The following is a 15,473-nucleotide window of genomic DNA, read 5'->3' as shown; positions in this document are numbered from 1 at the left end:
GAAAGCCCAGTCTTATTGCCAGTAATTACTGTTTTAATGGTGTATAGCATGAGGCTGAAAGAGACAGTTTCCTGCATTGGAAGCTTTTACTCAACAAATGGCCGTTGTATGTGGTTCAGAGATTCCAAGAGGCATGAGAAGTGTAAACCAAAAATAAAATTCCCAGCCCCCCAACCATCTGAATGCATCCTTCCTCTTGGCCAAGGGCATTCCAAAGTTAATCTGAAAAACTAGTTCAGGACGTGATGGGAAGTGAGGGTCAGACTTGCCCTCCTCCCCTTGGAATTCAGGCACAACTGACCAGCATTAACATTAAAACAGAGATTTTAAGACTTCTTGTAGCAATAAGACAGTGAATTCCAGCCTGATTGTAGTATAGCATTACATGACAGATAGCAGGCCCTGAAAGGAATTGAAGTATTTTACTCTAAACTTTATTTATTTGACATATTTTGAAGAGGCCCTGCAAAGGTGTGTCTTGTGGAATCTGCATTTTGCTGAGAATCCCCTTTCCTCTCCAGGGTTTTTTTATTTTCATGGTCCAGGAAAGAATTAAGAGTCTGGCACCTTTCAAAGTCTGATAGGAAACATTTACAATCTATTCCCTCTGAAGCCTGCTGCGTGAAAGCTTCATCTGCTTAATAAGAACCTTGGTCTCTACAACCTCTTATCTTAACCCAGACACTCCCTTCAGTGGGTATGGGACTGCGGAAATCGGCCAGCGGCCCCTTTAAGGAGCAGCAAGTCCCTGTCTCGCTCTTGGTGTCGCGCCTTTTCCTAGCGCCCTCCGCGGGCCGCTTAGCCCTTGTTCCGGGTGAATCTCAGGGAGGGCACCGGAACCCTGGGCTTCTGAGAACTACATTACCCATAATGCCGAGCGCCAAGCTGCAAAGACGCGGAGCCAATCAACGTTCAGGAACGGACCTGTCTCCGTTTGTTGCATACGGTAAGGCGGGACTTCCGGCACCGCTCCGAGATGGTAATTTTGGTGGTTCTCTACCTCGGCCCACGCCGCCTGAGTTAGAAACGCTGCCTCCGGCACAGAGCGGGGGTCGCCCCGCTGCGCATCAGCCGGTGGGTCGCTGGCGCTGGTGGCAGCCGTGCCTGGGTTCCCGCCCCGGGTCGCCCGCCGCTCCCGGCCCCGCTCCGCTCACAATCCGATGGCGGCGGCCGTGCTTAGGGATTCGACTTCGGTGAGTGCTGCGTCTCCCGGGCCTCACCTGCCCTCTCCGCCGGAAATCCAACACCCTGCATGAGGGGCGCCTGCTTGCGTCCCTGCAGCCCGACCCTAGAGTCCAGGACTATGAGGCCCTCGCGGGTGGGGCTCCCATTTACAAGCCTGGTGTCGTGGGCTGTGGAGGGTGTGGCAGGCGGAGGGGCCGGTTTCTGTGAATCTTGCTGGGACGATTGAGCCAGTAACGTTCACGCCCGAATGGTAAAATGAGGCTCTTTCTTTTCAAGACGCTGAGAGCCATGGGTGGTTGTGAACAGACGAGGCACATGGTCTGAGTTAGACTTTTCAAATTTTTTCTAAAGTTACTCAGAGTTGGAACAGCCTGGAAGGGGGATAACACCGAGGCACAGGGAAGTTGAGTCCTTGTGCAAGGTCCCACAGCAGGTAAGAGTCACACGGAACTGAGGAGCAATAATAATTTAGTCATCACCAAGTCACCTGGCTCCAGGGCTGCGCAGGGAAACAAGGAGGCATCAGCCCATGGAGCTTCCACCATAGTTACCTGCCTCTCATAGCCTTCCTCTTCCCGCAGGTTCCCGTGACTGCAGAAGCTAAACTTATGGGCTTTACACAGGTGAGTGGAGAGTGTTTCGGGCCCTCACTGATGCTGACCCCAGTGTTTGTCTCTGAGATTGTGTTCTGGGACTCTTCTCTTGGCACTCTTTGGGTCCTTGGTTCTAGGAATCCTGAACAAACATCAGTCCCAGGGTCATACATCCAGGCTGGAAGCTGGTATAGAATGGTTCCTATTGCTGGGAACCAGTAAAGTAAGGTGTGGAACGTTGTCTCAGGCTTAGATACCAGATGAGCAAGTGCTTGAAGGTCAGGCTGAGCTGGTTTAGGAAACTACAGCTGTTTTCTTTCTCATGGGAACTGAAAGCTGGGATGCAGGAATCAGACAAAAAATGGCTGTCAGTTGTCGGGTGTTTCTTCTGGAGTGTGTGATGAGCAATGACAGTTTGGGGGCAGAGGAGGTATGTGATCTGATCCAGGTCTCATCAGGTTCCCTGTGTGTGGCCAAGCTGAGAGAACAGGCTGAGTGTGAGGTATGAGATAGGAAGATAGTGAAGAAGGCTGCTGCAGTAGTCCAGGTGAGTGTTACTGGTGGCTGGACTTGTGTGGTGGCTGTGGAGGTGGTAGTTGGATTTTAGATCAGTTTTTTTAAGTAGGGAAGCCTGGATTTTGAGATAGAAAAGTAGGATTTAGGGGTAAAAGCAAGGTGTTTGGGTTTAGCAGCTGGAAATATGGAAGCTCCACTAGCGAGGATTGTAAAGTTGGTAGTAGAGTCAGTTATCTCTAGAGATAATCAGAAATTTTGATATGGACCATCTTTATTTTTAAAATTTTTTAATAAAAATCATCTGAACATGGCCCAATGGGACATCTTTTAGAGTCTGAGATGTTTCAAAGAACAGTTAGTTTAGACATGAAGTGGATAGTTTATCCTACAGGACTAGAACTGTGTTGAGGGATTCAGGATAGAGACATTTAAAAGGTGGTGGCCACTACTTGCCTAGGGGTATAGCTTGGGACACAATTAGGAGGTGGAATCGTGATCACTTTGGTAATGCTATTACCAGCCCAGGGAAGGAAGGTTGGGGGTCACTACTGGCTCTCCTGCTTGGGGACATGGTTGGTCATGGTGGGAATCACAAAGACAGGTATGGGAGAGAGGTGGCTATGGTAGGGTGTGAGAGCAAGGATGATCTGGCAAGTGGCCAAGGATCTAGGAGAAGAGTGGGCATGAGATCAATGCTTGGAAGTAATTGAGACAAGATGACACTGAGACCAGAACTAGTGCTTACTCAGCACTCTGGATATATCTACCAGGGTTTTGTGGCAACCCTTGAGGTGTCAGGAATTTCAGGGAGGTGGATAAGTTGAGGGGCACAGGTGGTCATCTGGGAGTTATTGGGCCTGAGGTGTGGGGGTCCCCTGGGGCAGACTTTGAATGAGGGTTAGCAGGAGAGGAAGGCTGTGACTTAAGAGAGGACATCAAGTGCAGCGCTAGTGCAAGAGGGCCATCGGTGTCAGATCCCCAGGTATTTCTGGGTGACTGAGGATGTAGAAAGGGACAGAGTCAGGCAGGGAGGCCTTCAGAGCAGGGTCTCTGAAGGGCTGCCTTTGGCAGTGGGGACCATTCAGCCTGAGTGGCACCGGACCTCATTTCAGTTTGCCAAGCACTTTCTGAATGTTGCATTCCAACTATCGTGGGGATGCCAGAGAGATGCCTATGGTGTGGGGCAACAGGGTGGAAATAGCCGTGGGAGTGAGATTGTTTGAGAGAGTGTGTGCTTCAAAGAGTGATGTGCATATGGAGAGGAAGTGTGAACTGAACAACCCATGGCCATGGCATTGAGGATATAAGAATGATGGCAAACCTCATCATTGTTTGTATGTGAGTGGCATAATTTTGGAAACCCCAGGAGAACTGTCTGACAAGACAAAATCCAGCCCTATATGCTAGACCCAGAGTTTAAAATGGCATTTCCTGGCCCACCTGCCTGTTGGTGCTGTGGGAAGACACAGTGATGATGGGACCATGAGGAGAGGGCAGGAATCAGTGCCACCAGGTCTTGGTATCTCCTCTGAGGTGGGGCTTAGGTATGGGGATAAGCAGGGAAAGGATGTGTGGGGGGCATGAACTTGGGGTCCTAGGAGAGAATCTGATCATGGAAAGATCTATCCCCATCATGGCAGGGCTGTGTGACCTTTGAGGACGTGGCCATTTACTTCTCCCAGGAAGAATGGGGGCTCCTTGATGAGGCTCAGAGGCTCCTGTACCGCGATGTGATGCTGGAGAACTTTGCACTTATAACTGCGCTGGGTAAGGCCCTCACACCCACTCTCGTGTCCTGGTCTTCGTCTATCCTCTTTTTCCTCAGAGGCAGCTCTGCCGGACCGTGGGCTTTGCTGACTTCCCCACTGTCTTGGCGTATGTGCTGTGGTGTAAGGAATGAAATCATTGCACTCCTTAATCAGCCCTGACATTTGCTGTCCCAAAATGCACAGGGATGGGTCTGGCTGTTAGGTGTCTTGAGTCAGCCTAATGCATCTCCGTTTACTTCTTCACTTCCTCTTTGGGTGGCTGTGTCCATATTCATGGTACTTTGTGTCTCAAATTCTGCCTCCTAGATGACATTTCCTTTGACTACCTGTGTTAGGAATTTGCAGAATTTTCCTCATCAGTATTTACATGGACCATGAGCTGTGGTTGCCAGAACCTCCTTCAAGGATCTGTGTGATATTAATTTTCTTTCTTGTGTTCTCAAGGCTGCTGACTTGCTCTGGGCCACTGCAGGATACTCACCTGTCCCAGCTTTCCCTTAGGACTTGCTTCATTCAGGTCCCAAGTAGTGGCACATCTAGAGGTGGTGGGAAAGCCCTGGTTGTTGGAAAGGGTGAAGATGGGAATATGGCTTCAGAGGAAGCCTGGCCTCAGTCAGTGGCACCTGGGTGAGGACATGGCATCCAGCCTGTTTTCTAATCTTACCAGGAATTTGCCCTGTGTCATCCAGAGTTTGGTGCTAATGCCACTGGACACATCTCATTTCTATGTTTTCTTCCTCTTCCTTGACACTTTGCTGGCTTATTGCTTCATCTGGGACATCCGGCCTCGTGCTGCCCCCATCTTCCTGCCCTCCATGTGTCACCAGTTTCTCTGCACTGCCCCCCAGCATGTTTTCCAACACTGACCCACTCACGATATGTTGTGAGTTGTGCACATGCCAATTAAATATTTCTTGAACACAAGATCGCAATTGGAATCTCCCACTCACTTCCAATTGCATTATCTTGGGCCCGAATAATGCCAGCTTTCAGCACAGCATACACGTGCCACCAGCTGACAAGATCTTGCCACAGGATTTGGCAAAAGAATAGATTGGAGACCCTGCCTCTCCTTGTGTACTGTACCCCATTCTTACGTCCTGTGTTTGGTGAGGCCTCCCCATTTTGTGATCTTTAGAGGCCCACTACTGCCAAGCAGCCTCTTTCTTATCCTGCTTTCAGTTCCTCAATATTGCTTCAAAGCAATACTGTGAATTCATTCCTTGATGTATATGTGAAGGTGCTTCCCATTTCCTGTTATGTACCCACAGGATTTTAATTAATGGAGGTAGTAGAGTGCCAATACAGAGAGGTTAATGTCAGTGACATAGGAATTTATCACCTGCAGTAGCAAGAGCATGTGAACACCATGCCATGCAGGGCCACATGAGGAAGTGCTCAGTGGTCAGAAGGTAGAAGCAAGAGAGGAGGGAAAATATTAAGCCACAGCCTTTATTGGGGTTTCTGCAGGTAACACAAGACATAATAAACAGTTTAGGATTGGGTAATTTGAGTAGTTTGCTTTGGGGCAAAGGGGCTCACTAGGCGTAGTTGTCTCCTGCCTGACCTTGGGATGACTAGAGCAGAGGAATATTAGCTCCTGAAGCATCCAAGTCACATAGAAAATGTGATTGGGAGTATGGGCTCTGGATTGATGGTGTATTTGTTATGCTCCTTGCTGAGCCCTTTGCTATCTCTTTAAGAGTTGGCTCACTCTGGAAGCACCATTCTCTCCCCAGCCAGCAATGTTTTTTATTTTGTTTTGTTTTGTTTTGTTTTTGAGACAGTTTCGCTTTGTCTCCCAGGCTGGAGTGCAGTGGTGCGATCTGGGCTCACTGCAACCTCTGCCTCCCGGATTCAAGCAATTCTTGTGCCTCAGCCTCTTGAGTAGCACCCACCACCACGCCTGGATAATTTTTTGTATTTTTAGTAGAGCCAGGGTTTCACCATATTGCCCAGACTGGTCTCAAACTCCTGAGCTCAGGCCAGCAAAGTTTTTAAGATGTCAGAACACCAATTATTCAGAAAATAGTTTTTTAAATGACTAATACACTCCCATCATAGTCAACGTGCATTTCATCAGTGTTTCTCTGCTTTCAGTTTGTTGGCATGGGATGGAGGATGAAGAGACACCTGAGCAAAGTGTTTCTGTAGAAGGAGTACCTCAGGTCAGGACTCCAGAGGCCAGTCCATCCACCCAGAAGATTCAATCCTGTGACATGTGTGTCCCATTCCTGACCGACATTTTGCACCTGACCGATTTGCCTGGGCAGGAACTATACTTGACTGGGGCATGTGCGGTCTTTCACCAGGACCAGAAGCATCATAGTGCAGAGAAACCCTTGGAAAGTGACATGGACAAGGCCTCATTTGTGCAGTGCTGCCTGTTCCATGAGTCAGGAATGCCTTTCACCAGCAGTGAGGTTGGGAAGGACTTCCTAGCCCCATTGGGCATTCTTCAGCCGCAAGCTATTGCTAACTATGAGAAGCCAAACAAAATCAGCAAATGTGAGGAGGCCTTTCATGTTGGAATAAGTCATTACAAGTGGAGTCAATGCAGGAGAGAGTCCAGCCACAAACACACTTTTTTTCACCCTAGAGTCTGCACTGGAAAAAGGCTTTATGAATCTAGCAAATGTGGGAAAGCCTGCTGCTGTGAGTGCTCCCTTGTTCAGCTGCAAAGAGTCCACCCTGGAGAAAGGCCTTATGAGTGCAGTGAATGTGGGAAATCTTTTAGCCAAACCTCTCATCTGAATGATCATCGGAGAATCCACACTGGAGAAAGGCCTTATGTGTGTGGTCAGTGTGGGAAATCATTTAGCCAAAGAGCCACCCTCATTAAACATCACAGAGTTCACACTGGAGAAAGGCCTTACGAGTGTGGTGAATGTGGGAAATCTTTTAGCCAAAGTTCCAACCTTATTGAACATTGCAGAATTCACACTGGAGAAAGGCCTTATGAGTGTGATGAATGTGGAAAAGCCTTTGGGTCCAAATCCACTCTTGTTCGACACCAGAGAACTCACACAGGAGAAAAGCCATATGAGTGTGGTGAATGTGGGAAATTATTCAGACAAAGCTTCAGCCTTGTTGTACACCAGAGAATTCACACTACAGCAAGGCCTTATGAGTGTGGCCAGTGTGGGAAATCATTTAGCCTAAAGTGTGGCCTCATTCAGCACCAGTTAATTCACAGTGGAGCTAGGCCCTTTGAGTGTGATGAGTGCGGAAAATCCTTTAGCCAAAGAACCACCCTCAATAAACACCACAAAGTTCACACTGCAGAAAGGCCTTATGTATGTGGGGAATGTGGGAAAGCTTTTATGTTCAAATCTAAACTTGTTAGGCACCAGAGAACTCACACTGGAGAAAGGCCTTTTGAGTGCAGTGAATGTGGGAAATTTTTTAGACAAAGCTATACCCTCGTTGAACACCAGAAAATTCACACTGGATTAAGGCCTTACGACTGTGGACAGTGCGGGAAATCCTTTATCCAAAAGTCTAGCCTCATTCAACACCAAGTGGTTCACACAGGAGAAAGGCCATATGAGTGTGGCAAATGTGGGAAGTCCTTTACACAACACTCTGGCCTCATTCTCCACCGAAAATCTCACACTGTGGAGAGGCCTCGTGACAGCAGCAAATGTGGAAAACCCTACAGCCCAAGATCTAACATTGTTTAACTCTTGAAACTCCAAACCTGAGAAAAGCCTTAGACCTGCAGGGAATGTGCCATGTCTTTCTTCAGTGTTATGGCTATAGAGAGCCTTTGTGAAGGAGCCGTCTGCCTAAAGTTAAACCTCATACTTCTAGACCTCCCGATGGGTCAGACTCCCATTAGTTCCAGGCATATGTGTCTTGCAGGAGCTCCTTTGCATGTTCTAAACTGCTGGAGGCCTTTGCCAGAGTTAAATCATTAGTCACCCTTGCATACTAAGGCGAGGCAGATACACCTGTGTTCTCCCAACCCTTGGAGGAAATTCCTTGAGCAGTCTGAGCCTTTAAGGGGAATTCCTTCCCTTTTCTGACTGATTACAGCATACATCTGACCAGTTTTGGCCAGAAGGGCCCAGCCTGGGTTCTGCTGGAAGCTGATGTGGAAGGCTTCCCTTCATGGAAATTCTTGTTTTCACACAACACTTGGTAGTTTTTCCAGCCTCCAAGTCACCACCTAGTAACTGGCTGCCTCACATTGCTCTGGTTTGTGTGGTAATAAAGGCCTTATTTTTAAATCTATGTGTGGTCTTAGGGTTTGGTTTACTGTGTGAGGTGGCTGGAAAACACATTTGGGCTCCTACATAAAGGCATGGACAGCTTTTGTGGGGCCCCAATGTTGCTGGCCTGTGCAGGAAAAGTAAAATGACAGTAGTTCTTGTTCTGGTTTTAGTCCACTTTGCCTTGCTGCTCAAGGCCTCCTAGGAAACAATGCAAGAATTTTGTTGTCCTAATTTATGGCCTGGATCCCTACACTTTCTCTGGACCAGAGGTCATCCTGAGGACAAGTCGGCTGTTATGACAGGCTCCTGTGCTTTAGGGAATAAGATGGATTTATTGCATTGTTCTACAGGCTGTAATGCCCAGCACTGTTGAGACGAAGCTTTTTCCCAGCTTCTGCAAAGGAACCTATGTGCCCTGATGCCCATGATTCCATAGATGGTGGTACTCAAGCTGATGGGAGCTAAGCATGGGACATAATTGGTACAGAAATTTTGGGTATGATTAATAGAAAGTGGAGGAGGTAATAGCAAAACAAATGTGCCTGTGGTAAAAGTGCATCTACACATCTAGTAACTGGCTGTGTCTATTTTTACAACACACACAATCTCCTTGTACAAGGTGTGACAGTGTAGGCATAGCCTGGCTTAGAGGGAACAGCTCCATTCTGCAGCATGATTGTCAGAGCATGGAGCCAGGCAAGCAACCTGGAGGATTACTTGGGATGATTTAATGTGAGTGCAGGAGGACATGTGGGAGGTAGAGAATCAGAAGGAGCCTGGGTAGCAGAAACCTTAACTTGGAAATGACATCCCCCATCATAGGCTTTATCCTCTGCCACAGTTACCCTATTTTCAGAGGCAGTGTCCCTCACCCTTGTGCCCTACATGGAGCTCAACCCTCAGATGTCCTGGTTCTCTGTGCCTTTCCCAGTGACCAAGCAATAGGTTCTAATATCTAACAGTCTGAGGTCAACTTTCTGTTTGACTTGCCAGGCATTGGTGCCTTTCAAGGTCATGGCCCTGACCTTCATCTGGTAGAAATGTGGATATTTGGGCCTGGCCCAGAGGACACTGCACCAAGATGTGAGGCTGCAGAACTGTGGGCTCTTGGTCTTGCTGGGTAAAGCTTTATTTCTGTCCCATGTGGGTGACCCTAGTCCTCTGATTCCATCCTCTTGCACATACTGCCTGGTGAGAAAGGCATCTCAAGCCCTTCTCCCTCTACCCACAGGTCCTGTTGTATTCTCTGTTTTGGTCTCACATGCTTTTGCCTGGTCTCCCTGTGTCTGCACTGGGGATCACTGGGGTAGAAACAGCCCTTTAAACACAAATCCTCACCCTAGTGCCCAGCACACTCTGCCCTCTGTCTGAGGTCCTTATTCCAGAATTCAGGCAAGAAAACTTGATCTAGCCTGGTTGGGTCAGGTATCCCCAGAGATTGGTTAACAGGACTGTGGGTAGTGGATTATTCTCGAAGAAGGGGCTGAGCTAGGCAGGACTCCAAGGTAGCATGTCCATCAATATCCCCCAGGTATCTTATTATATAATGCTGCCTCTTTTTTTTTTTGATGGAGTCTCACTCTCGCCCAGGCTGGAGTGCAGTGGCATGATCTTGGCTCACTACAAACTCCACCTCCCAGGTTCAAACGATTCTCCTGCCTCAGTCTCCTGAGTAGCTGGGATTATAGGCGTGTGCCACCACACCCGGCTAATTTTTGTATTTTTAGTAGAGATGAGGTTTCACCACGTTGGCCAGGCTTGTCTCAAACTCCTGACCTCAGGTGATCCAGCTGCCTCGGCCTCCCAAAGTGCTGGGATTACACGCATGAGCCACTGCGCCCAGCTGCTTTTTTATTTTTTAAAGAGCTCCTTATGTCAGCATGAATTATCCTCATTTCCTGAGGCCTAAGTTATATTCTTCCAGTGGTAAGGGAGATGGTTTTAGAAAGCACAGAGGTAGGACATCAGGTGGCGTTGTAGGGCAGGTGAGCCCCAAAATTGGGGCTTAGTCCAAGAAGGTTCTTGGCTTCACTCAGGAAAGAATTCAAGAGCAAGCTAGTGGTAGATGGAAAATAGCTTTGTTGAGGCAGCAGGGTTACAACTCTGTGGCTGCTCCTACAGAGCAGGGCAACCCCATAGGCAGTGTGTCGAGTATCAGCTCAGGGGGCAGCTCTGCAATCATATTTATACCCGCTTTTAACTACATGCAAAGGGTGGGTTATTTGGAAATTTCTAGAAAAGGGATGGTAATTTCCGGGTGTTGTCATGGTGATGGTAAACTGCCATGGCACTGGTGGGTGTGTATTATGTAGATATGCTCTTGGTGCCTGTTCCCTGTTTCAGCCAGTCTTCAGTCTGGTATGGAGTCCTGCCTCCTATCTCACTCTCCCATCAGAGATTAGATACTCCTCTTTAATCTTAAGGGGGCTCTGTGACTGCTTGCTGCTGATTTTGTGGGCCTAGGCCCTGCCTAGCACTAAAGGAGTAAACATCCCTGGATACCACATATAAGGTCCCCAAAGGAAGGACACTTCCATTCTCTGGAATAGTAGACAAGGATGGGTTGGAAGCCTTGTGCCAGCATTGTCTTTACCTGGAACTAGAACAGGATACCCCAACCCCTCTCCTGTGGATACTGGTCCATGTCCTGTTAGGAACTGGGCTGCACAGTAGGAGGTGAGTGGCAGGTGAGTGAGCATTACTGCCTGAGCTCCACCTCCTGCCAGATCAGTGGCAGCATTAGATTCTCATAGGGGTGCTAACCTTATCATAAACTGTGCATGCAAGGGACTGGGGTTGCACACTCCTTATGAAAATCTAGTACCTGATGATCTGAGGTGGAAGAGTTTCATCCTGAGACCAGCCCCCAGCCCCAGCCCCACATACCCCATCCATAGAAAAATTGTCTTCCATGAAACTGGTCCCTGATGCCAAAAAGGTTGGGGACTATTGATCTAGAAAACACAAACTTTACTAAGAGGTTAAACAAGCAAGAGCCAAAGAAAATATACATAACAGGGTCACTTGCTTATAGATCTTTTGAATGTTAACCTATCCAGAGTTGCTAATATATGTGCAGCAGGTTTTATTAACTGCACAGACTTTACCTTGTTCCGCTAGTAGATAATCTAATGCCAGTGTGTTATTGAGAACTGCATTTGCCAAAGAGTCTAGAGATTCTTGAATTGCTGGTAGTGCCTAACCTGTGTTGGTGGCTAAGGATTCTAGAGTTTGAGTCAAGTTCTTTAGGGTTGACTTGTGGTAGGCAAAGCCACCCTAGGGTGCTGCTTGTCCTATGGCTGCCCTGATTCCCACCAGAATTAATCCTATTGCTTGTTGACTTCTGGTGTTCCTGGGCCTTATTGGGTTATAGACTGTGACCCTTGGAGGGGCAAGGGTGGTCAACATACATTTATCTTTGTTCCAAGTTTTTGATATATAAGGGAAAGCTACTCCTAAAAGAACAGATGGCTCCCTGGGGAGCCAGGAGTAGTTACAGCATGTGACTTCTCATTCATGGCCACAAACAAAAATGAGTCCAGTTGGAGCATAGAGGTCCTACAGGGTGTAATGTCTATCCTTTGCTGCCAAGTTGGGTCTATAGAGATATTCTTCCCCTGTTCCAATGGGGGTGGTCAAACAAACCTTGTTTTCCAGAAGCGAATAGTACTCCCACCCTCCCAGATTAGGCAGTCATTTTTTCCCGTGTGTTCTGGTCTGGGAGAAGACATCATATATGGTCTTCTTGCCTACAAGTGAAATACCATTTACCTTGCTGTTGCCTTGGAAACTTGGTAACTATAGTTAGATCAGAGCATCACAGGGAAACGTCTGCTTTTGTGTCATTAACATAGTAGTGAGTGCAAAAGAATCATTAATGCACTGGAGATATACTCAACTTTTCAAGTCCAGGTATAATGGCAAGTGTGGAAGGGGACATTCAGGTGGAATCCATTAAGTGAAGGAGAGTTCCACTGAATAAGTAGGGGTTTTGGTACTTTGGGATTGCTATGGTTAGTTAGAAGTACTGGGTAGATGTCTGTGAGGTTTTCCAGATAGGCCAGAAGATGGAACTCTAGATCCTGGGGATGTTGATGACAAGTCCAGCAACCATGAAGATGATTCCCTGACACTATAATTTTTGAACTGTTTACTATAGAGGTTTGATCTAATTAGAACAATTAGAGGATTTCTGTCTAAACTTTCACCTAGTGAGAGCTTTTTGTCCCTAATGACAGACATTCATGGCACTGTATAGAGGGGATATTTCATGCTGAGTGAATACCCTTCTCCCTCTCCATTTGGGTTGTGTTTTTCCTCCATGTAAAAGCTCAGGACTGCCCAATGAATCTAGACAGTTCCATTATGAGACAAGTTAATTTTCTTCTTCTGGAAGGCATACAATGGGGACAGCCTATTAAGCCCAAACCTCTCTTTCTAACTTCTTCCTGGAAAGAATTTGGAGTCAGAGTTCTTATTTAACATTTCAGATCCTACAGCGCCACCAAGTGAAATAGGATTTTTTCTCCATAAGGAGCCCTATCTGCCCTTTGTGCAAAACCATTAGTTCCCCAATTCCTCTCCCTCCTGTGTGCCTCTGTTAGGGACTAAGCTCCATGCTCCATCTGTTAACAGCAAAGCTGTACCTTTAACAGTCGGGAGAACAGCCACTCAATCCTTATGTTCTTTTGAGTCACCTGTTCTGCATTGAACTACACTGGCATTTAAATAAAAAGAAGATTTCATATTTGGAAGTCAATCGGTCCCATTCTCTGGGATTTCAATGTTTTGCTAGGGCCATAGCAAGGGAAGCCAGAGATAGTATTAAAACACTCCCTCCATTAAAGGGTCTCACCCAAATACAATATCTCCCAGACCACTAGGGTACCCTGGGAGCCTTATGGGCCACTTGGGACTAGGAAACCAGCAGCGTGGAGAGTCAGGTCCTCATACAGGTAAGCATGACTATTACACCCAACTAGCTCTTCCAGATCCACGGGTGAAGGTCATGCTTGCATCCATGGGTGACACCTATGATGGTGGCCAGGACCCAGAGTATGGGAAGAAAGAGAAGTGGGATGCACTTTCGATCTTTCCCTCCACCCTGGGTCACACCAAAAAAAGGAAAAAGACCAAGGGACGCCTTTTCTCCTACTCTTTTTAAAACAGGTAACAAACCATCTTCAGTCTGCACTCCTCTTGAGTGCATCCTGAGACACTGAGACTTTTAACCCTGAGACTGAAGAAAAATGGCTTATATTCTTCTGTACGAGGACATAGCCATCTTACCAGCTCCAGGATGGATAGGCCTGGGCTGCTGAGGGAAGTGTTAATTTCAATAATATCCAATAACTAGATCTTTTCTGCACGTGGGAGGGCAAACGGTCTGAGGTCCCCTATGTGCAAGCCTTCTTTGCCCTGTGAAACAGCCCAGCTCTTTGTAAGCACTGCAAAATTGACTCTGCCCTCTTAAGAGTCATATCAGACAAGCCCACAGTGGACAACACCGCAAAGTCAGAAAACCCCCTCAAATGCAACTTCTGGATGCTCTACCTCCCCATCCCTTATCTGGGGCCTCCAATAGCCAAGCATCAGCTCCTCCAGCTGTGCCACACAAGAAAACTCAACTTCACTGTTGACCCTGCAGGAAATGCCCAATGGACATGGTGCCACTAGAGTTCAAGTTCCCATATCATTGCAGTACCTTAGACAAACAAAGGGGGTCTTAGGCAAGTTTTTGGATGACCCTGATAGATACATAAAAGCTTTCTAAAATCTAACCCAAATGTTTGATCTTGCATGGGGAGATGTTATGTTACTCCTAAGCCAAACTCTAACTGCTGCTGAGAAACAGGCAGCCCTAAGGCAGCAGAGAGATTCACCGACAAACAGCATGTATCCTATAGCCAGTCAAAAAAGAAACCCAGTCAAAAGGGGAAAGAGGGTAAAAAAGAGACAGGATTCCCATTCCCAGTAGGAAGATAAACAGTGCCCCTTGAAAACCCTAAGTGGAGACTAGTCATCGCATAGATGAGTGGAATACACTTTCTGATGTGCATATTAAAAGGCTAGCAAAAAACAAAACCAAACCTCTTAATTACTCTAAACAATCCATGTTAAATCAAAAATCAGATGAAAATCCCTCAGCCGTTATGGAAAGGCTGAGAGAGGCCTTAGTGAAACACACCTCCCTGTCTCCCAATTCAATAAAGAGCAGGTTTATTACTCAGGCACCCCCCGATATCAGAAGGAAGTTGCTGAAACAGACCCTGTCCAAATGTTTTTCTAATTTTTCTCACCCTCAAGTTTAAACTTTGAAGTATATAAATGACAGTCTCCTCTGTGCTCCAACCAAGGAAGTAACAGGAAAGCACTGAGGCTCTCTTCAATTTCTTGGCAGAAAGGGGATATACGACTTCAAAATCTAAAGCTCAGCTCTGTCAGACTTCAGTAAAGTACCTAGGTCTAGTCTTATCAGAAGGGACAAGAGCACCAGGTAAGGAAAGGATTAAGCCCATTTCCTTTAACAGTTAAGGGGATTCTTAGGAATTACTGAATTTTGCAGACTGTGGGTACCTGGATATGGTGAAATACCTCACCCTTTATACCACCTCATAAAAGAAACTCAAGCAACTAATACTTGGAATCTTAAAACTCAAAAGCCTTAACCAGTTAAAACAAGCATTACTTAAAACACCAGCCCTCAGTCTTCTCATAGGGAACACATTTAATCTCTATGTATCAGAAAGAAAGGAAACGGCCCAGGGAATTTTAACAAAGGCTCGAGGTCCAGCTCAACAGCCAGTGGGTTACCTAAGCAAGGAACTTGACTTGGTGGTTAAAGGATGGCCAGCCTTCCTCCAAGAAGTTGCATTGGTGGCTTTGCTCGTGCCAGAGGCCACCAAGTTAATAATGGGAAATAACTGTTTGTTTGTTTTTTGTTTGTTTGAGACAGAGTCTCGTTCTGTCACCAGGCTGGAGTGCAATGGCGTGATCTCGGCTCATTGCAACCTCTGCCTCCTGGGTTCAAGCAATTCTTCTGCCTCAGCCTCCTGAGTAGCCGGCACTACAGGTGTGCACCACCATGCCCTGCTAACTTTTGTATTTTTAGTAGAGATGGGGTTTCACTATGTTGACCAGGATAGTCTTGATCTCTTGACCTTTTGATCCACCCACCTCAGCCTCCCAAAGTG

The 15,473-nt window shown here is 47.0% G+C and overlaps 1 protein-coding gene across 3 annotated transcripts, besides 1 other annotated feature; it reads left to right on the top strand.

The window, feature by feature from the left end:
- ZNF416 (zinc finger protein 416) lies at nt 954-8,299 on the top strand. 3 transcript variants are annotated; one of them, XM_024451594.2, is made up of 5 exons: nt 954-1,193; nt 1,537-1,618; nt 1,767-1,808; nt 3,935-4,061; nt 6,164-8,299. In XM_024451594.2, the coding sequence occupies exons 3-5, from the start codon at nt 1,794-1,796 to the stop codon at nt 7,744-7,746; spliced, it is 1,725 nt and encodes a 574-aa protein (XP_024307362.1). In that variant the 5' UTR covers nt 954-1,193; nt 1,537-1,618; nt 1,767-1,793; the 3' UTR covers nt 7,747-8,299. The 3 variants fall into 3 exon arrangements, with proteins under 3 accessions (XP_024307362.1, NP_060349.1, NP_001340334.1); NM_017879.3 differs by lacking the exon at nt 1,537-1,618; NM_001353405.2 differs by lacking the exons at nt 1,537-1,618; nt 3,935-4,061.
- Nucleotides 1,045-1,264: a silencer, noted in NCBI's record as "silent region_11076". NCBI's record gives its function as "represses an Ori minimal core promoter by ATAC-STARR-seq in GM12878 lymphoblastoid cells {active_cell/tissue: GM12878}" and the evidence as "EXISTENCE:reporter gene assay evidence [ECO:0000049][PMID:35858748]".
- Nucleotides 8,300-15,473: the final 7,174 nt, after the last annotated feature.

Source organism: Homo sapiens, chromosome 19, assembly GCF_000001405.40.
Source record: "Homo sapiens chromosome 19, GRCh38.p14 Primary Assembly".
NCBI lineage: Eukaryota > Metazoa > Chordata > Mammalia > Primates > Hominidae > Homo > Homo sapiens.
This window is presented reverse-complemented; position numbering and strand designations above follow the sequence as displayed.

Excerpts from the sequence above, each read along its gene's own strand:
- ZNF416 (NM_017879.3), top strand. The coding sequence starts at position 1,161 with ATGGCGGCGGCCGTGCTTAGGGATTCGACTTCG. Across the intron at positions 1,194-1,766 it reads TGCTTAGGGATTCGACTTCG|GTTCCCGTGACTGCAGAAGC; the intron begins GTGAGTGCTGCG and ends CTCTTCCCGCAG. Across the intron at positions 1,809-3,934 it reads AACTTATGGGCTTTACACAG|GGCTGTGTGACCTTTGAGGA; the intron begins GTGAGTGGAGAG and ends CCATCATGGCAG.